Source organism: Homo sapiens, chromosome 1 (genome assembly GCF_000001405.40).
Source record: "Homo sapiens chromosome 1, GRCh38.p14 Primary Assembly".
NCBI lineage: Eukaryota > Metazoa > Chordata > Mammalia > Primates > Hominidae > Homo > Homo sapiens.
The window spans coordinates 208,183,442-208,205,524 of NC_000001.11; the positions used below are offsets into that span (position 1 = coordinate 208,183,442).

A 22,083-nucleotide genomic window follows, 5' to 3' on the forward strand; every position below is an offset into this window, starting at 1 on the left:
TCTGCTGACCATCCACAGCCAGGAGCTGTTGCTGACAGAAAAGAAATGAAGGGGCAGAGATGGGAGGGAAACCAGATGTCCGCAGTTGCAGCACCATTCTGCGCAGCGTCCCCACTGGGGTCCCTGCTGTAGACGAGAAGCCAGAGCCAGGTGCCAGAGAGGGAGAGGGGGGGGTCTTTGGGGGTGGGGGACGGTGCTGGGCCCCACTCCTGCTTATCTACCCCTCAGTTTCTTTTACCTGGGAAACAGATCACCAAGAGAGGCCCGTCTGATGCTTTAAGCTGGGAATTTGGTTTATTCTGGGGCAGATGAAAAAGAAATTGCACTGTAGCATCTTACAAAACTGCCCCCTTTTCAACTGGGACTGAGAGTTGGAGACTTTTCCTTTAGGCTTTCATGGTACCCTAGACTTCTAAGTTATTTCTACTTCATATTCTAGAACTGTACCATCCAGTGTAATAGCCACTAGCCACAGGTAGCTATTTATCCTTATATTAATTAAAATTAAGTAAAATAAGAAATTCAGCTTTTCAGGCACACTAATATATGTCAATCTCTCAATAGCCACATGTAGCTAGTGGCTATTGTATTGAACAGCACAGATATAAAAGTTTTTTCTCATCACAGAATGTTATCTTGGACAGTGCTGTTCTAGGAAGTTTTTACTCAAGTGTAACTTTCATTCTTGATTTCCCCAGATGTTCACATGATAGCCTGCTCCTTAGGAATGAGGGCTAACTGGCCCAGAGGATAGATGTGGGGTGGGTTGAGACAGGGAGGAGGGAAGGGACGGGTAAGAATGTTTATTCTGCCAACCCGAAGGTTTTCTTTAGACTCTGAGTCTCTTTGCCAGTCCTAAGCAATTTAACTTGCCTGGGGAGGAAGGGGGACGCTGTCTGTAGCAAAAGAGGAATTCAGGTGGTAGCTACAGCCAAATAGGTTTTGCAATCATATTCTGCCTCCCTTCTCCACCCCCTGCTTAAAAAAAAAAAAACCAAGGAAAGTATACCAAGGCCAGCCCTAGATAATGTGGGTGTGGTGTCATTACCCTGACTTACTCATCACACCCCAGGGCCTCTACAGGGTTGGGTGTAGGCAGGGATGGAAGGGGCACACAGGCTGGGGATGAAGCAAGCAGTTATGCTTCAGTCAATCTTGAAAGCTGTTGACATGATGGAGATGGAATGAGAGATGTTAAAGCCAGATATTGGGCACACCCAGCAAAGCCTCCCGCCCAGCTCACCCTTGAGCCTGCGCTGCTTTACTCACATTAAGAGATCCGCTGGTGCAGAGAAATCACAAAGAGTACACACACACACACACACGCCTCATGCAGTTCCAGGGAGATTTCTGGAAAGAATCTTTAGCCCAATTTCTCAGTAAGCCTCAGCTGTTCCCCCAGGCTTAAGCGGGGGGCCAGCAGATGGTCCCAGCTAAATAGGCAAGCCTCCCAGTTCCTCTAAAAGCAGGGTCTGGGCCCTTCCAAGCCCAACAGTCCAATTAAGCTTTTTGCCCACAGGTGGAAGCAAAAATGAATTTGGGGCCATTCTTCCCTTCTTTTAGGCATGGAGCACTCAGCCCTCCCATCAGCCCCCTCCCTACTCCTGGCATTGGCCCATAAGGAATCCCTGCCTCTCACACTCTGCTCTGAACATTAGGTTCCTCAGGGATCAAAGACTCCCAGAAAGATTTCCTTCTAAGGTGTCTTCTAGGCTGCAGGGATTTGACTGAACCGTTCAAAGGAAAACTCCTGGCTTGGCCTTGTTAAGGAGGCCCTCTCAGTCCAGGAGGTGGGGCCTCTCAGGATTAAGGCCACAGATCCAGGTACCTTCGATGATGTTCTTATTTCCTTTTCCCAAGGGCCAGAAAGTGCTGCAGGGAGATCCTGGTGCCCTGCTCTTCTCTAGAGGCCTCTCCTCGCTGCAGAGCTCATTGGCATGACTGGCATAAATATATCCATATATCTCTCTATAAATATACATGTCTTTAGCTATATATATCTTTTCTTCTAAAGACTTGGCAAGAATTCCCTACAATCCTTTTCCATGACACTATAGAAAATCAGCAGAGTCATCAGTTTGATGGTTCCCACAAAGACTGCTTGGGGTTGACCTCTGCAAAGCTCCCTTGAATCTTGCTTCCAGTAACCCAACCTCTTCAGCCCTCGCCAGCCCCCAACCCCCTGGCAACACAAAACACAACTCGATTTCCTGAAGCTGAAGCTGCCCCTTTATTCCTTGTTGGTCTCTGAAAGCAAAAAAAAAAAAAAAAAAAAAAGGAAAAAAAAAAAGAAACTATCACTTTTGAGCTATTGTCTTAAGAGAGTAATAAGCTTTGTGTTCCTCCAGCTGGCTGCAAAAGGGAATTAGTTGTGCAGTGGGATCCAATGGCACTTAGAGACAGGTGTGGCAAGGAAGAGGTGCTGGTGGTTTCAGAATGGGCCACATCTCTGTGGGTGAGCAGGAGGGCAGGGCAGATAGAGGTGGTGTCTATCAAGACTTAGCAACCACTGGGGCAGCAGACTAGATGTAGCCCTCCCTGCAATGACTCCTTGCATAAACAGAAGAAACACCAGTGTACACGCACAGGTGGGGAAAGCATCCCCATGACTTTCTGAGGGAGTTATCACTAGGCACAGATTCTGAGAGCGCTATCTTCATCACCCTGCATCATCATTTGTTGGAAGGAGGCCCAGGAGGGTAGGAGGAAAAGGCTGGCTCCTCCGTCTTTTTTAAATCCATCTTTCCTTCTCCACCATTAAAGGCTTGGGTAGGTGGAGACAACCCCTGTGACTTCTCTTTGAGGTATTCAGATCCTAGCCACATGTTGACACCATATTTAATCCTGAAACAGGTTTCCTTTTCTTGATTTTTAAAGTGGGGGTTGGGAGAGGGGGTTCATAAATAGAGAATAGAAAATGCAAAGGAATAAGAGAATCAACAGAGAAATGTACAAAATGTAATTTGGCAAAAAAACAAACAAACGGAAAAAAACACAATAAAACCAAAACCCACAACCACACCTCCCATAGCCTTTCTTGTTTTGTATTCTCTCTTTTTAAAGTTGGGTTGTTATCTTTGCAACAGAGAATGCCAGCAGGTGTTGCTGGCAGCTGTTTAATGACAGTGTCAAGAACATCTTTCAGAAAGGTAGGCTTGGAGGCAGGAGGCGGTGATGGAGAAAATGGGATAGGGGGAGAGTAGGTGGCCCCACATCTGTAGAGAAGTAGCTAAGGAATGAAGGGCTGTCCTGGGAATTGCAATGTTATTTTATTTTTTTTTTTTTTTTTGAGACGGAGTCTCGCTCTGTCGCCCAGGCGGGACTGCGGACTGCAGTGGCGCAATCTCGGCTCACTGCAAGCTCCGCTTCCCGGGTTCACGCCATTCTCCTGCCTCAGCCTCCCGAGTAGCTGGGACTACAGGCGCCCGCCACCGCGCCCGGCTAATTTTTTTTGTATTTTTAGTAGAGACGGGGTTTCACCTTGTTAGCCAGGATGGTCTCGATCTCCTGACCTCATGATCCACCCGCCTCGGCCTCCCAAAGTGCTGGGATTACAGGCGTGAGCCACCGCGCCCGGCCTGCAATGTTATTTTGTACAAAATCCTTCCTGTAGGAAGGTGGGGGAGGGACAAGAGACATTTTTCAGTTTTTTTGCAGACCTAAGAATTTTGAACCAGAATTACATGCAGCTTGCTGTGTCTCTGGACAAATATCTTAGCTCCTCACTCAGCATCTACCACTTTCTTCTTTATTGTTAGTGACTGTCATGAGGATTAAATGAAAGGACCTGGAGACCCTTAGAGAAGGGTCCCAGCAGTCTCCAGGGGTGATTAGCCCTGCAATTATTCCACATCTGGAAAAAGTAATAGCTCCCAGACTGGCAGGGTTATGTCATGGACCAGCAAGAGAAAGATGGTTTTTGTTACATAGCCCAGAGAGGCTGATCTTGGTTCTGTGTGTGTGAGAGAGACCGTAGGGAGGCTGGATTTGGAAGGGAGGGAAGCAGGAGCAACAGCCTGAACAACAAATGCGCTCCAAAGAACACCACCTGAACAACTCGAGCTCTGAAATCTTTTCTGCACTGTGCTTTCAGCTTACTTCCCTAAAGCTGACTCATGAAAGCAAACCTGAAACTCTCACAAGATAAAAAATTTTTTAGAGACAGCAAACCAGCCAGTGCTATGCGAAGACGTCTGCAAGGTACTCTGTCCTATCTGGACTGTTGTTTCCCTTACTGTTAGCACAATGACCAGGATCTTGTAAAAGTCCCTGGCAAGTATTTTCTCCACCTTCAGAGCATTACCAGGCCATGTACTTGCGGGATAAAACCTGCAGGTGTTAGGTTCTTTCTGATGCTGCTGATCAGATGGGTCAGGTAGCAGAGAGAAGGCAGCACTAACCCTTACATTTGTGCAGTGGTGTGCAGTTACTGTTGCTTTCACACGTATCATCTCACTAAATTGCCCCACGATCCTGTGAAGGAGGAACTGAAATGATCAATGTCTCCATTTTAGGGATAAGAGAACTGGGGTGATTTCCCCAAGGTCAGTGGCTGTAGAGCTGGGACTGAGCTCAGCCCACCCGATTTCTGGGCTTCTCTCCCCCAGCTCCACATTGCACCACCACCAGTGACGCGCACCTGAATATTTATGAGAATGGAGCCCCCAGATCACGTCTTGAGGGGAAGAACAAAGGAGGCAAGCTTATCTCATGCCTTCAACTAGGCACCTGAGGAAAGAACCCATGTCCTATTGTCCTTTACACCTACTGTAGCCCAAAACCTACAGAGATTACATGTCACGAGGTTCTAGCAAGATAGGCTGAATGCCTGCTTTAGGGTAGGATAGAAGAAAAGACACAACAAAGGTATGGAGCCCTCATGGAGGCTGTGAACTTTGAGCCACAAAACTAGGGATTTATGCCTAGGATCCACTGCTTACTGACTCAATAATCTCAGTTCAATCCATTTGCAAAATGGAGATATAGGCTGGGCGCAGTGGCTCACGCCTGTAATCCCAGCACTTTGGGAGGCCAAGGCAGGAGGATCACCTGAGGTCAGGATTTCAAGACCAGCCTGGCCAACATGTCGAAATCCCATCTCTACTAAAAATACAAAAATCAGCTGGGCATGGTGGTGGTTGCCTGTAATCCCAGCTACTCGGGAGGCTGAGGCAGGAGAATTGCTTGAACCTGGGAGGCGGAGGTTGCAGTGAGCTGAGATGGCACCACTGCACTCCAGCCTGGGCATCAAGAATGAAACTCTGTCTCAAAAAAAAAAAAAAAAAGAAAAAAAATGGAGCTATGAATCCCAACCTCTCAAGCTGCTATGAGAACTAAATGAGAGGAGAAATGTGAGAGTATACTGCATACTGCAATGTGTAAAGTTGGATCTTCTGGACCCTGCAGTTTCAGAAGTCACCAAAGATAAGATGGCAGAGGGTTGTGGAAGCTCCTCTTCTTCTGTAGAGCAATGCTTATGTACTCCAGCCCCAGATGGGCTGGATGTAGTGCACCCAGGAAAAGGGATAAGCCACCTTAGGATGGAAAGGACCTGGTGCATGGCAGGTTCTCTATGAATGAGTTTCCCTTCTGTCTCTAACCATTCCAAAACATTCTCTACGAGAAGCGCAAAGAAAAGGGCAAAAAGACAGTCATGAGGACAATCACAAGGACAAGGCATCTTGGGGATCCCTCCAAGCCTTAAGATCCTGAATGATTTCAGGCTACATTTTTAACAGGGTGAACCAGCACCACTGCTTAACACTTCCAGCCACGTTGTGAATCTCTGCTAAGTTAGGGATGAAGTGGGAGAGTCTTATGGTGATGACTGTCACTCACATGATCATGCCTGGGGAGGTGGTGGCAGCTGTGGTCTGTGTTACCTGACTCTAAACAGAGGCAGAGCAAAGATAGTGATCTTGTGGTTGACTCAAGGGCCTGGGCTGAGCTATACACAGGGCCCCACAGGAGGCCCAGAATAGGGAGGGAAGCATGGTCCAGCAGGCCCACCAGAAGGGAACCCTGACTCCTCCTCCCCTTCTCTTTGAGCTCCTGAGAAGAGATAAAGAGAAAAAAAAAAAAGCGAACCTGGGGCTGAGGCAGAAGGATGAGCATACTGGCTAGCATTTCCTGAGTATTCCCTCTTTGCCAAGTACTGCACTAAAAGATGAACACAACTGACCTCACTTAACTTTTGGAGCAACGCTGCAAGGTAGGTATCATCATTCTCATTTTGCAAATGAAGAAACCAAAGCTCAATAAGGCTAACTGATTTACCCAATATAATCCTCTTAGATGATAGGATTTGAACCAAGATAGTCTGATGCCAAAGTCCCTACTCTTCCCACTACACACACAGCTCCTGTCCAACAGCCCGCCAGTCAGGAGCTACAAATAAAATCCCACACCTCCTACAGCAGGCACTAAATCAGCACGAGGAGAAGCTGGAGGTTGGCAGAGAGAAGATCTTTATGAAGACATTTCAGGAGCAGGAGAAATATCTCCACCCTCTTCCCAGCCAAAAGTGTGGTTGTATGTGTAAGATGAGAAACATTTTGGGGTGGGGGAAGGAGGGTGGAATCTCAAGCTAAAATTACCACCCACACCGAAGTCACCCTGAAGGCAAACTGGGGCCTCAAGGATTTTGTTCGATTGTGTATGTGTGTGTATATGAGTATAGATGGTAGACTGGGAGAGAAGGAGGCAGAAAAGGGATTTTTTTTTCATTCCCAGTGGCAGTTATGAACAACATTTTCCTCCCAAAACTCATGCTTCTCCATCACTTACTTACGTCATGTTTTCTCCTTTCTGACCTTGTGCAGAGAGCTAGCATGCTTTTGTAGATGAGTAGACTTTGGGGCTAGAAGACCTGGGTTTGCTTTTCAAATCCACTACCCACTGAGTTGTTTAATAACTGCATATTATGTGAATAAATGGGAAAATAATTTAATCTCCCTGAGTCTTAGTTTTCTTATCTCAAAAAATATAGTACCTATGTTGCAGGGCTGTTAGAAAGATCAAATGAAGAGTGCTTAGCACAGTGGTTGACACATGGTTGACGCTCCAGAAATGTTGGTTGCCTTGATCAGGGTTTGTCAACCTCAGTACTATCGACATCATGGACCAGATAATTCTTCATTGTGGGGAGGAAGTCCCATCCATTGTAGGATGTTTAGCAGTATCCCTGGCCTCTACCCACTAGACGCCAATAGCTCTCTTTGCCCAAGACATAGCAATGAAAAGACATCGCCAGATACTGCCAAATGTCTGCAAAATCACCTCCAGTTGGAAACCACTAGCTTGATGTAATTAATACAGATATTAGCAACAAGTAATATGTTTGACAGCACATAGCAGGCCCATATGTAATTGTCATTGTTTTTGAATGAGTGAGTAAATAATTGTATGAATGAACACTCTAATAATGGGCGTTGCTCTGCATCTTCGAACCTTTGGTGGCAGGAGTACAGTCTACTCAGTCCTGGACCCCAGAAGGTTGATGGAATCCTCTGTAGTTGTCTTTCAGTGCAGACCTGCCATCTGCTGGGATTTGCAGGTGGGGCACTGACAGGTGAGGGAGGCTATGAGCTAAGTGAGGCTAAAGGATTTTTCCCTCTGGAAAAGGGCGGTCCCAAAAGGATTCGGCTGCAGCACTGCTGGCTTGAATTTCTGTGTATGAGATGTGACTGCCTGAATCATGTGCACTCCCCAAGAACCTTGTTCTTTGCCCATGGCCAGCAACAAACATTGGTAAGAATCCCGGAGGTCCTGCCTCACGCGGAAACACAGCACACATCTGCAAGCGCCTTTGACTCACATCAAGAAGGTGCCTCAAAATTGGGGCAGAGAGATGGCTCCTGTCCTAGGATTTCTTCCCCCTCCCCACTTTTCTCATCTCCTTTTCTTCTTTTAAAACATTTATTGAATGTCTTTTATATTAGCTGTTACTATAGATAGAGAGATAATGAATGCAGCCCTTATCCTAAAATCGTGGCGCGTACTGAGGGGAGGGAGAGAGAAAAGAAAAAGGACAATTATAATAGTACATACAACAATAATATTACTGTTTCCTGAGTACACACTCTATTTTGGACACTGATCTATATGCTTTACATGTATTAACTCATTTACATGTCCCTCACAATGAGCCTGGGAGGCAGAAATTATTATTATTTCCAGTTTGCAAATGAAGAAACAGGCACAGAGAGGTGAGGTTATTGTCACTATGTCGCACAGATATTAAGGGAGAGAATCAAGAGTTGAACACAGATACTTTGGCCCCAAGGCCTGGACTCTTCTTAAACGCAGTGCTCTCCTGCTCTGACAGCCACATAATTGGGGTGCTATGAAGCACATGGGGGCTTCCTAGAGGAGGTGGTGTATCAGCATGTGGAAGATGAGGAGGTGTTAGCTGGGCACGGGGCAGGGCGAGGGGTTCCTAGTCTGAGAACACTGCACACAAAGCCCCGAGGTGAGAACAAGCATGAAGACGTGTCAGGGTCAGGGATCCACGAGGCGATTCTTACCCTCCCTGAGTGGACTCCCTCCCCTTGCCTCATGGTGGGAGTAAGACCCACCCAGCTGATGGGACTCCTACCTTCTGGCCTGATTTGGTTCTCTCAATATTGATTTGGAGCTACCTCTTCAGCCTCCTCTCTCAGCCCGTGCTGCCTGATTTGGTGTCACAACAAAGACCATGACCCTGACTTTGTCTCCCAGGTGTAACCTTCGAGTCCACTCTTTCCATCTGCTCTGATCCATTCTCCTGGTCTGGGCCCACTGGCTCCTCTGGCCCACCTCTGGGCCCTGATCTGAATTCTTCCAGGGTTGTCTTGTCCTGCTGCCATGGACACCGGGTTTGGGGATGGTGTGTGTGTGTGTGTGTGTGTGTGCACGTGCACACATATGGCAGGTGGTGACTGTGGTGCAGGTATGCCTATTACCCAGGGTACATAACATGTGATGATCAAACAGACCTAAAATGTCATCATCTGCCATTTGAACCTTTTTTTTTAAACAACAAAAAAACCATACTCCTAACCCTACTAGAAGAAATAGATAGATGAAATAGATGAAAGTAAGATACTTTGATTGAAGAAGGGTGGAGTTGGGAGTTGGGAGTGGCCTAGAACTCAAAGGCACACTTTTTAAAAACCATTAGACAGGCCAGGTGCAGTGGCTCATGCCTGTAATCCCAGCACTTTGGGAGGCCAAGGTGGGCAGATCACTTAAGGTCAGGAGTTCGAGACCAGCCTGGCCAACATGGAGAAACCCTGTCTCTATTAAGAATACAAAAATTAGCCAGGCATGGTGATGCATGCCTGTAGTCCCAGCTACTTAGGAGGCTGAAGCAGGAGAATCGCTTGAACCCAGGAGGTGGAGGGTGCAGTGAGCCGAGATTGCACCATTGCATTCCAGCCTGGGCAACAAGAGCAAAGCTCCGTCTCAAAAGAAAAAGAAAAAGAAAAAAAAAAAAACCATTAGACAAAGGGTCTTAATATTTTAGGGTCATAGACAACTTTGAGAATCTAATGTAAGCAATGGGCCCGCTACACAAAAAACTAAATCTACAAATGTTTGTAAAACATTTTTCTGGTAGATCACAGACCCCCTGAATCCTGGAACATAGATGAAAACTCTGTGCATCCAACTACCGCAATATCCTCTTCTTACTGATTTTGTAAGGGAGGGTCATAAGGTTTTGGCTGCTGCAGCACAGTGAATGATGAAACCCAGACAGTCCTGGCATTGCTTCATTTGCTCAAAGACAGCAGAGGCCCAGGGTTTGGAAAGCACAACCCTTTTTGGGCTCACATTTCCATGACAAGGGCATTGGTGTTAACATTACTCCCTCATAGCCCTAGGGCCCCTTGGTGCCAGAGATGATTTGTGCCTCAGTTTCCATACTCGTGTAATGCTACTTAGCTCACACATCTAGGCAATGATTAGTGTGGACAAAGGATGGACATCCATGTTCTAATCTCAGTGTCATTACTGAGTGATAATGACAAATCACTTGACCACTCTGGCCAGTTTCTTCACCCATAATATCGCAGCCCATGGGGCTGTTAGGATTACAAAATGAGATAAAAATGGGCAATATATGTATATTTATGAAAGCTCTTTATATAACTGAAACCAATGAATAAGTTTAAGAATGTTATTATTATCTTAGCATTTAAGAGACTGACAAGGAGATTCATACCAAGAGAGTTGCTCTCAGGCCTTGGAACCAGGGAGGATAATAAAGATCTCTTTCACTTAGAAAAGGCAAATTCATGCCCAAAATATAAAAAATTTGTCTGGGCTGGTCACAGTCGCTCACACCTGTAATCCCAGCACTTTAGGAGGCCAAGGCAGGAGGACTGCTTAAGCACAAGAGATTGAGGCTGTAGTGAGCTATGTATGATTGCACAACTGTACTGCAGCTGGGGTGACAGAGTGGGACCTGTCTCTAAAAAAACTTTTTAAATGTAAAATAAATAACGAAAAATTTTATTAAAAAAATTTTTTTTATTTTTAAATAAAAAACACTTGTCCAGGATCATTCACCTATGAGTCCTGGGGGTGGGAACTTAAGGGGGTTCATAGCTTAGGGCGCATAGCTCTGGATAATCCAGCAATGGTTTGTAATCCTGGAGTCGTTTACTCCATCTTTTTAGGCCTATCCCTCAGCCAAGGAAAGAGACTGTGAGAACAGCCTCTTGCCACAGTTCCCCTGGTATGTTGTGCTCAGGTTGGGAGCCCCTGTCTGCTACTAGATGCAAATCAATTTCCAAGTTCACAGTGATGGGAAAACTAGAAGGCTCTTCATAGGTTCTGCCTGCTGTTAATGAGCTGATCTGGGGGAAAGGGCCGAATGAAAATGAACAATCACTACCTAGAGTCACCGGAGTGCTCCATGCAGCCCACCCGATGTATGTGTTTTATGCAGTGCTTAGGCTGCTGGTGCCTGAGGCCTGAAGGCAGGTTTATGAGATTAAAGCCCAGTGCCCAATAAATAATTTAGCAGCTTACTGCAAAAAAAAAAAAAAAAAAAAGAAAGAAAAAAAAAACATACATGCAGTATAATATCTACCATCTCCAGCAGTCTGATGTGTACATACATTTTAAATGCACGCCACTTTCATCTACATGTCTCCATTTGATGTGGAGTCCAAAACCAAATAAGGAAAAGAAAAAGAACACCATTACCTCCATCCTATCTATACATCCTGCCACCAAGATGGGGCAGATGAGAAACAAAACCCCGCCATGCACTAATTATTCAGGGCTTTGCTGCTGTCCTTCTCCACCTCCCAGCCCCTCCATCTCCTTCTTTGCTTTTGAATGCTGTTTCGTGTGTGTAGGAAGAATCAGAAATCTCCACTGTTCTAGTATTCATTCAGAATTTGGTTTTCTTTTCCCAAGGGCACCTTTTCTGGAGCAAAGCTGGCTCAAGGTGCTGTTTCCTGCAGTGTCCTATGTGACTTGCTTGTGGGTACAGCTCAAAAGGTGGTATAAATACATATCACCACCATGGCCACCAGAGTCCACGCTGAAGTTTTAATAAGCCAGAAGTAGTGGTGATGGATTGGTAAGACTCGAGCTTGACAATAAGGGAGCAGAAGAGCATTAGAGAGTGGAGCAGGAAGAGGTAGGGGTGGGTGTCACAAGAAGAGTGAGTGGGAGAAGGCAGAGAAACTTCCAAGAAGTTGCTCCAAGATCTAGAAGCATCCGTGGGAGATGAGTGGCATGTAGTAATCTAGGTAGCAGCATGAGCTAGCAGGAGAAAATGATGCCAAAGCTCACCTTCTCCTTCTGATTGGAAAGTTGACAGGTTCTGATCACAGTTAAGGGATGCATGGCTTCACTAGGGAAGACAGGCATGAGGGAGAGTGGTAAGATTTCCCTCTAGCTTTTGTGGAGATCCGGGAGGGTGGCAACCACTTTGGCCCCAATCTCTTGACTCTCCTGTGAGTAGGGTAGACCCACAGACCCACCAGGCACTGTGCTTGTACAAGACTCCACCAAGCTTATCCCACCCCCTACTTTTTGCACCTCCATGGCCTTGGCTGCATTTACTGCCAGTGGCTGTGGTTTATCTCCCATTGTTTATGGCCTGGGACAGGCTGCCTACAAATAGCTCCCCAAAGAGTGGGGAGATTCAGGCATCTGCCATTCTGTGAAGCTTTTTCCAGAAATGAAAAGGATAGTCATAAAATGTTTTTTGGGGGGGGGGGTTAGGGGTGGGCAACATGCATCATAAAAAGCGTAATGGACTAATGCTAATACACAGACTGGCTGCAGCCCAGGGGTGTCTGCTGAGCTCAGACATAAATACTGGGGAGGCATCAAGGAGACAGATTTTTTATTTCTTTGATTTGATGGTGGGGGGAGGTTGGGCATATTTTTTCCTTCATTTCTCTGTCTATGACCATTCCTCTGGGGATACCACCAATCCGTCTGAGACTTACATTACCCAACATTTTACAGCTTCAAGAGGGGCAGCCATTAGACTACGGGAAAGACTGAAGGTACAAGGGAGGTGGGGGGTACATTATATGGCCTCATGGGGGAGTCTAGTTTTGGGGTTTGGTTGTGCCATACAAGACCTTGCTAGTGACAAGATAACTGAAGGGGGCGAGTATAGTTATGTTGGGCTTATGACAGAATGCACCTACGAGTAACCATGAACTTGCCCAACATCAGGCACATTTCCAATACTGAAGAAACTGATTAATGTTTTCTATTTAGTAGGAGCCAAAACAGCACCAACACCAACAATCACCCAACAGGAATCCCATCCCTGCCCAGCTTCAGGAATGAAAAGTAAAATACCTGTTTGGTAATTAATAAAAAGTTCACGTACTTGAGGACTCAACCAAACACACTGTTTCCTAGGGTTTTATGTTAAAAAACAAAAAACAAAAAAAAAACCATGTTCTCTGCTAATATTGACCATTAGCCAATTACTTTCTAGCCACACACTTGCCTTTAAGCATGCACTTACACAGAGTGGGTAAATGTACAGTGTATTTGTGGGGCAGACAACAGAAGTGAATGCAAATCCTGTGTTCAAGTAGCCTTGGTTTTGGGTGGTGCTGAGATGCTCTTGCTCCTTTCTCCCTTTCATGGAGGTGCTGAACACCTGTGAGTTTGTGGTAGGGTCCTGAGAATTGAATTGGAGAATGGACTCAGTCCACCTAAGACCCTGGGTTAACTGAGAAGAAAGAGAAACAGTAGAAACCATGGCAGTGGGGGCAAGAAGCTCCTGTTCACCCTTGTAGCGGGTGGGGAGAAAAAGACTGAAGGCATTTGGAATTCAGATTCCATTGCACCATTTGCTTTGGAGAAATTAATTTTATGTGTGTTGTCCCTGAGAATGGGTGGAAAATAATGTGGTATTCAGAAGAATGGGTGGCAAGGGCGGGGGTAGATGTTGGAAAAGAAAGCTATCTCTTTTGTCCTCTGTATCTGGGTATATGTGAGGTGAAAGAAAAAGGGGAAGGCAGGGAATCTTATTAGGTGTACTAGACCTGTGCTAAGAGATTTAGATGCTTATTGAACCTTATTATAATCCTTCTGAAGAAGGTATTATTATGACCTTTTTAAAGACAAGAACTCTCAACTCTGAATTGCTGAGAAGTTAAATAACTTGGCCAAGGTCACGTACTTAGTAAATAGTAGAGTTAGGACTTGAACTCAAACCATTGTCTTATCTCAATGATATAAAACAATGAAAGAAAAAAATCAATCAGTGATGGTTTAGAAGAAAAATTATTTTCAGTCTGAAGATCAAAAGAGCAGGGACTAGTGCATCCCTTGTGCCAACTGGTATAAATTATTATTCTAAGTGATAAAGGGAGGTCACCACATGTGCCATTGTTGGAAAAGGGTTAGATAACCCTTGTGCATGACGACACGTGATTACTCAGGCTGAGGGTGAATGGGGCACTGACAGTCACCGAAGCTGAACTGGGGGCTAATTGCCGGAAGAGACCGGGTTTCCCCGTGACTAAATATGCTGCAAATTTACCTGGAAAAGAATCTCAACATGAAAGAGAGCTAACCCTTGTGTGTGAAATTAACGGGTTGTCTGTGGCCCAGGGAGCTCTCTGGATGGGGACCCTTGGAATCAGTTGTCAGTAGGGGTCTTGCCCAATCATCCACCTAGAAATGAGGCCCAACTGGGCCCATCAGTAGGAGTTTGGCTCAGCCTCTTTCAAATAAGCTTAGGGTATGAGGAAAATTCCTCTTCCCTTAGTTGGCTAGTGTCTTAGCCTAAACTGACTCCCATTAGGTTAGACATAAAGCAGAACTTCCTGGCTACGAGCTGTCTGAAGCTTGACCATGAGCGACCAACATTGGCTCTGGCATATCCTTTCCTAAAGACTTTAAAGAGCAGCAGAGACACCTAATTGCTGCCCACAGCACTGGGTAGGAGAGAACCCTTCCTCCAGCCTCACCTTTGCTTGCTGGTATTTCAGTAAAAGGCCCAATACAAATATAGAATGTATAATTTTCACATCATTCTTGGCAAATCCCAGGTGCGCCCCATTAGCAGAGTTCCAAGGATGCCATTTTCTATCAAGAAAAAGACACGCCACATCGGAGTGCTTAGCTCAGGGCCCTATTAATAGCAATCCTAATTATATGGCTGCAAATTTAATTCATAGCAATGATTAGTGTCAGAATCAAAGGCATCAGGCATCAATATTGATGGAATTGCATAAGCCCCATAAACAGAGAACAAGCATTTGGGCCCATCCCCCCAGCAGTGGTCGGCTGTTAACTATTGCCTTAATGTCTCTTCCAATTTTGCCAGATCAAAATGACTCCATTTCTCAGTGTGCTCCTCCTCCCCACTGAAACCTTTGCCTGGCCAGCTCTGAATGGGTATGACTGGCACACAAAAGATCCCAGACAATGTCTTTGAAGAAGAGCCCGGGGGCTCCGAGGGATGCATGGGTGATGGGCCCTGGCCCCACGCTTTACCCAGCAGCTTTTGGCCTTGTCAGCAACACTCCTTTGTCTCTCCTTCAGAAAGCTCACAGCAAACAATGATGCCTGGAGAAAGGGGAGTCAGCTGGGGACTGTGTGTGGCACAAAAGGCTGCCACCCCGCGCATTGTGACCCAGGCCGAGAGGGATGGGAAGGTGGAGGAGGAGGCCTGAGGAGAGGGACACAAGGAAGACAGCGTGTGCCGAGGTGACAGCTGCCATGTCCCGAGTTTCCAGGGCACCTTCACTCAAAAGGGTGCAAAGAGGTAGCCCTTCCCCTCTTCTCTCGTGCATCTTCTTGCAGCTCTCCATCAGGCAAGTGGTAGTCTACACGTGGACATATGGAAGCGTAGAGAAGTTCAATTGAATGCTAAAAAGCTAGTGGTTAAAAGCACAGGTCTGGAGTCAGAGAGCTCTGGATTCAAATCCCAGCTCTCCAATTAGTAGCATTGAGACTCTGCCAAGTTACTTAGTTTTGTTGAGCCTCAGCTTGTTATATGTAAAATGGAAACAAGACTAATGATTTTTACAATTTGCAAGGGTTGATGAGGCTTAACTGAAACAAAACAAAACACTTAGCCCAGGGCTTAGCATATAGTAAGTGCTGAATTTATAGTGGATCTTTTAGGCCTATCCCCATTCAAAAATGTGGCATTCCTAGAGAGAAGACTAACGTGTAAGACTTGAGGGTCCCAATTCAGTGTTCTTCTGATTTGTCAGAACTTCTTAGCCCTGAGGCCAGAAGTGAAGTAGGCCTCCCTGCTGGGCAGGTTCTGGTAAGATCCCTGAGATGTGTGGACTGAGGGCTCAGGGATCCTGGTCACCCTAGATCAAGGTTGTATGGTCAGGCCTGGTACAAGAAGCTCAGCTGGATTCTTGCTCCAGGGAAAAAAATCCCTAGATCAATTTTAAGTTCGGCATAGGAAATGCCTGCATGCTAGAGAGGCCGAGGTCAGTCTGATGTTTTGTGCAGAAAGAATGTTCTTTAGGCCGGGCGCAGTGGCTCACGCCTGTAATCCCAGCACTTTGGGGGGCCAAGGTGGGTGGATCACAAGGTCAGGAGATCGAGACCATCCTGGCCAACATGTTGAAACCCCGTCTCTACTAAAAATACAAAAATTAACTGGGCGTGGTGGCATGAGCCTGTAATCCCAGCTACTTGGGAAGCTGAGGCAGGAGAATCGCTTGAACTAGGGAGTTGGAGGTTGCAGTGAGCTGAGATCACGCCACTGCACTCCAGCCTGGTGACAAAGTGAGACTCTGTCTCAAAAAAAAAAAGAAAAAAAAAAGTCCTTTAAAATGATATAGGGAAGGGCCCCAAAATTGGAATTCAAAAACCTGGGTTCCAGTCTTGCCTCCGTGGGTAAGAACCTGGGTGAGTTTCAGCAGATCACTCCACCTTTCTAGGCCTCAGCTAACTCATTCATAAAATAGAACAATACGCATCTTACTTGTCCAAAGTCAGTAGACCAGATCAGTTTTCTGAGGTCCCCTCCAGCTACTAAATCTATGATACACATTTAAGGGAACACTCTTGATCTTGCTTGATAGCGTCAATCTTATCCCCTGGGGGCCTTAACCCCAATTCCCCAGCCTCTTCCCCTCAATTGTCAAGCGTGGGAATTCCAGATTTGTTATTAAAGCCTGTTGATGCCATTTCTCCTTCCAGATTAGCTGGGGGACACTCAGCCTTTGCCATAGAAACCATAACACAGGGTAGGATGGGGATGGCTGATTGGGACAACCCAACGGCACCAGCTCCTGAACTTCTTTCCCACCTTGGAGCCTAGAAACCTTTCTGGAGGCTGAGGCCAGGAGAAGAATAGAACCACAGGAAGAGACTCAGAAGGCCAGAGCTCCAGATTCATTTTCACCACATTCATCTCCATGTATTTCCTGCCTCCCTGGACAGAGAGGCACATGCTAGCAAGAAGGAAAGAGACATTAAAGTAGCCATAAGCTCTTAGCTTGATCATCTTGGGCTACACAAGTGACTTAGGTATATGCTGGGCCCATCTCCACCCTGAAGTATTTGTCGTTCTGGTTCCAATTTCCACATCTTCCCTTGATTTACAACTTGACCCCAAGTAAGTCCATAATCTCTGAATTTCAGAATCACCATCTGCAACAGAGCAGTGAAATATCCCAATCCTTCTTTTTTTTTTTTTTTTTTTTTTTCTTTTTTTGGAGACAGAGTCTTGCTCTGTCGCCTAGGCTGGTGTGCAGTGGTACAATCTTGGCTCCCTGCAACCTCCGCCTCCCGGCTTCAAGCGATTCTCCTGCCTCCTGCCTCAGCCTCCTTAGTAGCTGGGATTGCAGGCATCCGCCACCAGGCCCAGCTAATTTTTTTTTTTTGTATTTTTAGTAGAGACGGAGTTTCGCCATGTTGGCCAGGCTGGTCTTGAACTCTTGACCTCAGGCAATCTGCCTGCCTCGGCCTCCCAAAGTGCTGGGATTACAGGCGTGAACAACCGCGCCTGGCCTCCAATCCTTCTTGATCATCTGAAAATTATATGGGACTAATGAACTAATAGAATCAAAGAGAATTTGGGACTGTGGCAGAAAAACATGGTAATAGTACAGGAGTGGTAGTAGTAATACTAGTAGGAGGAGTCACTCTAGCAGCAACAGAGGTGGTAGGCAGCAATGACTGCCATTTATTAAGCATCTCCTATGTCAAGATCTGTGTTAGACATTATATATCCTCCATGTCTGATACGCATAGCAATCTTGCCAGGCAGGCATGGGTGGTCCAGATGAATAAACTGAGGTCCCCTCAGATCACATAATTCATCGAAGGCAGAGTTGTGCAGCACAGGATACTGTGGTTGGTGTGGAGACATGCAAAGGGGGAGAATGGGCCTGTTTTAGTTAATTCTGCGAAGCTACAACAGGGCAACTGACACTTCCTTCAGCCCCACCCTGGGGAGGGGGTCAGTACATATTGTTTGGTGATATGAGACTGGGAAACCTCTCACTGGTGACTAATGCAACTGGATGCCAAAGTCCAGCAGGATTAGATTAGTTCGGCTCAGCTGGTCCCGTCTTCTAAGTATTTTTTTCCCATGACTCAGGGCTGGGAGTAGGGGACAGGATTCTCTTCCTCCGTCTGACCTTGCAAACATGTCACTGAAAAGGAGCCTGATCTGACAGCATCACTACCCCAGGGAGCCAGGGAAGAAGTGGGGTTTTGGGGAAGCCTCAAAGATATCAGTAATAATAGAAAGCACTTGCATGCCAAGCACCATATTAAGCACTTTTTACACATGATTTTATTTAATCCTTACAACAAATATGCAAAGTGCTTATTACTACCCCACTCCACAGGAAAAAAAAAATCGAAGTTCACAAGTTAAGTCACAATTGTAGTAATATTTAAATGCACATATGCCCATGTGCCCAAGCTCTGCACTCCATCCCTTCCATGAATTATTTCTTTATGATCTATTTTTTCCTTAGCACTTATCACCCACTAAACATAATATATATTGTGATTACTTACTTTGTTTGTCTGACTTCCCACATTCAGATAATTTCCATCAGGGCAAGAATTTTTTTTTTTTTTTTTCTTTTTGAGATGGAGTCTCTCTGTGTCCCCCAGCTTGGAATGCAGTGGTGCAATCTCAGCTCACTGCAACCTCTGCCTCCTAGGTTCAAGCAATTCCCCCACCTTGGCCTCCTGAGTAGCTGGGATTACAGGCACAATGCCGCCATGCCCGGCTAATTTTTGTATTTTTAGTAGAGATGGGGTTTCATCATGTTGGCCAGGCTGGTCTCGAACTCCTGACCTCAGGTGATCAGCCCGCCTCGGCCTCCTAAAGTGCTGGGATTACAGGTGTGAGCCACCATACCTGGCCAGGGCAGCCATTTTTGACAGTTTTATTTTCTACTGCTTTATACCAAGCTCCTGGCACACAGTACATATTCAATAAATATCAGTTCAATAATGAATTATGTCATTTAATCCTTACTGTAATCTTATGATGCCGGTACCAGAACTGTCCTCATTTTACATTGAGGAAATTAAAGCTCAGAGGTCACACAGCTAGTAGGATGGAGTCAGGACTGGATCTCTCCAAAGCCCCTATACTCTTTGTTATGCAAATTGGTCCCTACCCGAAGGCAGGAGAGTGGACCAGGTGGTCTTTGTAAGTCCCTTCCGACTCAGAGATCCAGGTCCATGTACAAAATCCACAGACAGGCAAGGCTTAATGGTGTAAAAGGGTCTGTATTTTCCTAAAGATAAGACCTCTGTAAACACCAGCACCTTGGCCTCTTGAAAATTTTGCATAGCCTATTTAGGTCACCTGTATTCTGTGAGCTTGAATCATTACGCCCATCCCACCCATCCATAAAACACAGTTCTCTGTGTTTCACCTGCTTGGCAATAAAGCCCCGAGCTGCAGGAGCTCAACCTTAAGACTGCAAAACAGCCAGCTGAATACACAGCCTGAGGCCTCATACAAGAATTGTCCAAGATTGAAGTATATTAGAAACTACACAAAAAGTACAAAAAATAAATGAGTCTTTAGTTTCTCCCCTTTCAGAATGACTCTGGGAGATCAGGACCTCCTTCCCTGGGGTCTGCTGGGGATCTGGACAGAGCCGACATCTCCTGTCTACACCTGCCATGGTCAAGCAAGGAGATGTGCTGGCCAGAGTGTGTGTGTCAAGACGGGTGGGAGTGGGACATTCTGTAAATATGCCCCTTTCTTGTGCCAACCAAATGCAGCCTTTCCCAGCTTTCAGAAGACCAGTTCTGGGGACCCAAGAGGCCTATAGAACAACAAAACAAACAGCGAGCTTGGCGGCGGGAGCCCGGGCAGGGAGCCAAACTCATTACTAGGGATGTGGTGGTGAGCTCCCTGAACCACCACCCCACCCCTTCCATGCAGGCTCTGGGGAAGGGGAGAGGGTCTCTACTCCCCACCACCCCAGTGTCCAGCATTGCTGAGACGCCTGGGCGAGTTAGGGTATCAGATGGGCGGTCTCAGGTCCCAGGAGAGCCACTAAGTCTCTTAGATGTGGACCTGCAGCTCCGGCTGTTTACTCAATCAAGGGTTCATACTGAGAGACAAGTGAATCATTTCCACTCAGAGGAATGAGTGGCTATTGTTTGGTGGGGCTGGCACAGAGAGAAAGGCATGTTTCTCAGCTTTTCATCCAACTTGGCCTTCCATCCGCCAAGGCAACTCCACCCCACGAGAGGAGCCAAGTAACAGGTTAGTGTGTTTGGGGAGAAAGTCTAAATGCCAATGTCAATATTGGCATTGGAGGGTGGGGGTGAGCATATAACCTTGGGCAAGACATTTAGTATAGCTACAGCTCAGTTTCCTACATCTGTAAAATGGGGTAAAGATGCAGGGGCGATCAGCACCCTCAGTTGAAGTATTTGAGGAAGATGAAAAGAACCACGGAAACGTATCTTGTAAACAGTCAGTGTTATCAAATAACTGAGTAATAACCCCAGGGCTGAGGAGAGTTAATACTTTGGTGCTCCTGATGGATTCTTTCCAATGCCTAAGCTGCTACTGCAAGAAGCTCACAGTTTTCCTGGCTTTGCTTAGTAAATCGTTTGTGCGATTACAAAGAGAAGAATAGAATTGGGACGTCAGGGCTTCCTGTGGGCTGGGGACTGGAGACCTTGGGTTGGTATGTCCCTTAGGGAAAGGCAGAAAGAATTTTCCTTTAAGAATTTCACAGGCATTTCAGCAGCCACCATTAGCTAATGGGAAAGAAGGTAGTGCCAGAATAGGCCGGGGCCCTCCCCAGAGCTTGGAAAGTCTCTGAGGATTTGCAAAAACATCCCAAGAGTCATACAGAGACTGGTGGGGGAAGCAGTGGTTCCCTGGGCATTCTTTCCTGCTTCCCCTGTTATACACAAGCCTGCATCTGATCCAGGTGAAGCAGATGGCTGTCTGTACTATTCTGGGGCCCTCCAGGCAACAGTGTAAATGCTGTCCCCTTCCTCCAGCCAACATTTCTGAGATTACCACCCCACCCTCTTCCAGATGTTGTTAACCAGAAAACAAACTCCTTTCCTGTTACCCACCAGAAGTTGTCCTGTTTCCTTGACTCCTCATGCCACTGCCACGCCAACCCTCCTCCTCCCCTCACTGACCTACCCAACACATCATACCTTCCTTCCTTCGCAACCAACCACATCAACAGGAGTCACCGTTGGTGTCTGATTCTATTTCAATTCGTACAAATAGATGTCTGGCATAGAATAGGCACCCAATACATTTGAGATCACTTTCATGAGCACCTAATGTGTATCTGGCAGTGGGGATGGCGTGATGAATGTGAAAAGGAAGGCCCCTGCCCTCAAAGATCTGTGAATCTCAAGGGAGGTAGACACCTTAACAGCTGCTCCCTTGCCAGATGCTGTGGGGTCTAGGAGGGTGCCATGCATAGTGGTTGAAGGGACAGAATAAAGGACATGTCACAATGCTTGAGCAGCAGAAGAGGTTTCTGGTGGGGATGGAAAAGAGAGCCAGCAGCATCTGCTGCTGTTTAAGGTCCCTGGGACTAAGAGGCTAGAGAGCCTCGGCAAAACACTACCCCCCAGCTTCTGTGAGGAGCCCTGCAGGGATGTGAAACCTGGGTTGAGGCGGCAGTTTAGCAGCTGCAAATGGAAGGAAGAAACCAAAGGAACTTCACCCTAACCCAAGATAGTCCTTCCTTCCATTGTCCTGGCATCTTTCACTTGCTCAGCTTGACTTCTTCCCTCTTTTGCCCCATGGCATGAGCTTGATTTGCCTCCTGTCTCCGCCCTGAAACCTGGAAAATCATGTAAAATGAGTTTCCAGTTCCTGTTGCCACTCTTCCTCCATCTCCATCTGCTTTGGTGTTTGCACTTAATCTCTATCATCTGGACTCCCACTGCCTATTCTTAACCAGGAGGGATGCTGTCATGAGGAACTGGACCCAGACCCCAGGATAACCTGCTTTTCCCTCCCCTACATCTGGCCCTAGGCCTGCCTGTCCTCATCATCCAGGCCATGCCTTGCCCTGTCTGTGCCAAGCCCCTCCTACCTGACCCTGAGGGGCTTTCTGCTACACTAAGGGCAGGCTCAAAACCAGCCTCATTCCAAAGCCC

The 22,083-nt window shown here is 46.5% G+C and overlaps 1 protein-coding gene across 3 annotated transcripts in view, besides 2 other annotated features; it reads right to left on the reverse strand.

The window, feature by feature from the left end:
• PLXNA2 (plexin A2) overlaps nt 1–22,083 on the reverse strand; it is a 222,143-nt gene that overhangs the window by 161,200 nt on the left and 38,860 nt on the right. The window lies entirely within an intron of this gene.
• Nucleotides 14,565–15,070: an enhancer, noted in NCBI's record as "H3K4me1 hESC enhancer chr1:208371351-208371856 (GRCh37/hg19 assembly coordinates)". NCBI's record gives its function as "activates a minimal SCP1, AML or CMV promoter by ChIP-STARR-seq in naive H9 embryonic stem cells {active_cell/tissue: H9 hESC(naive)}" and the evidence as "EXISTENCE:reporter gene assay evidence [ECO:0000049][PMID:30033119]".
• Nucleotides 17,883–18,177: a silencer, noted in NCBI's record as "tiled region #4965; K562 Repressive DNase matched - State 8:EnhW". NCBI's record gives its function as "represses a minimal TATA promoter and a strong SV40 promoter by Sharpr-MPRA in K562 cells {active_cell/tissue: K562}" and the evidence as "EXISTENCE:reporter gene assay evidence [ECO:0000049][PMID:27701403]".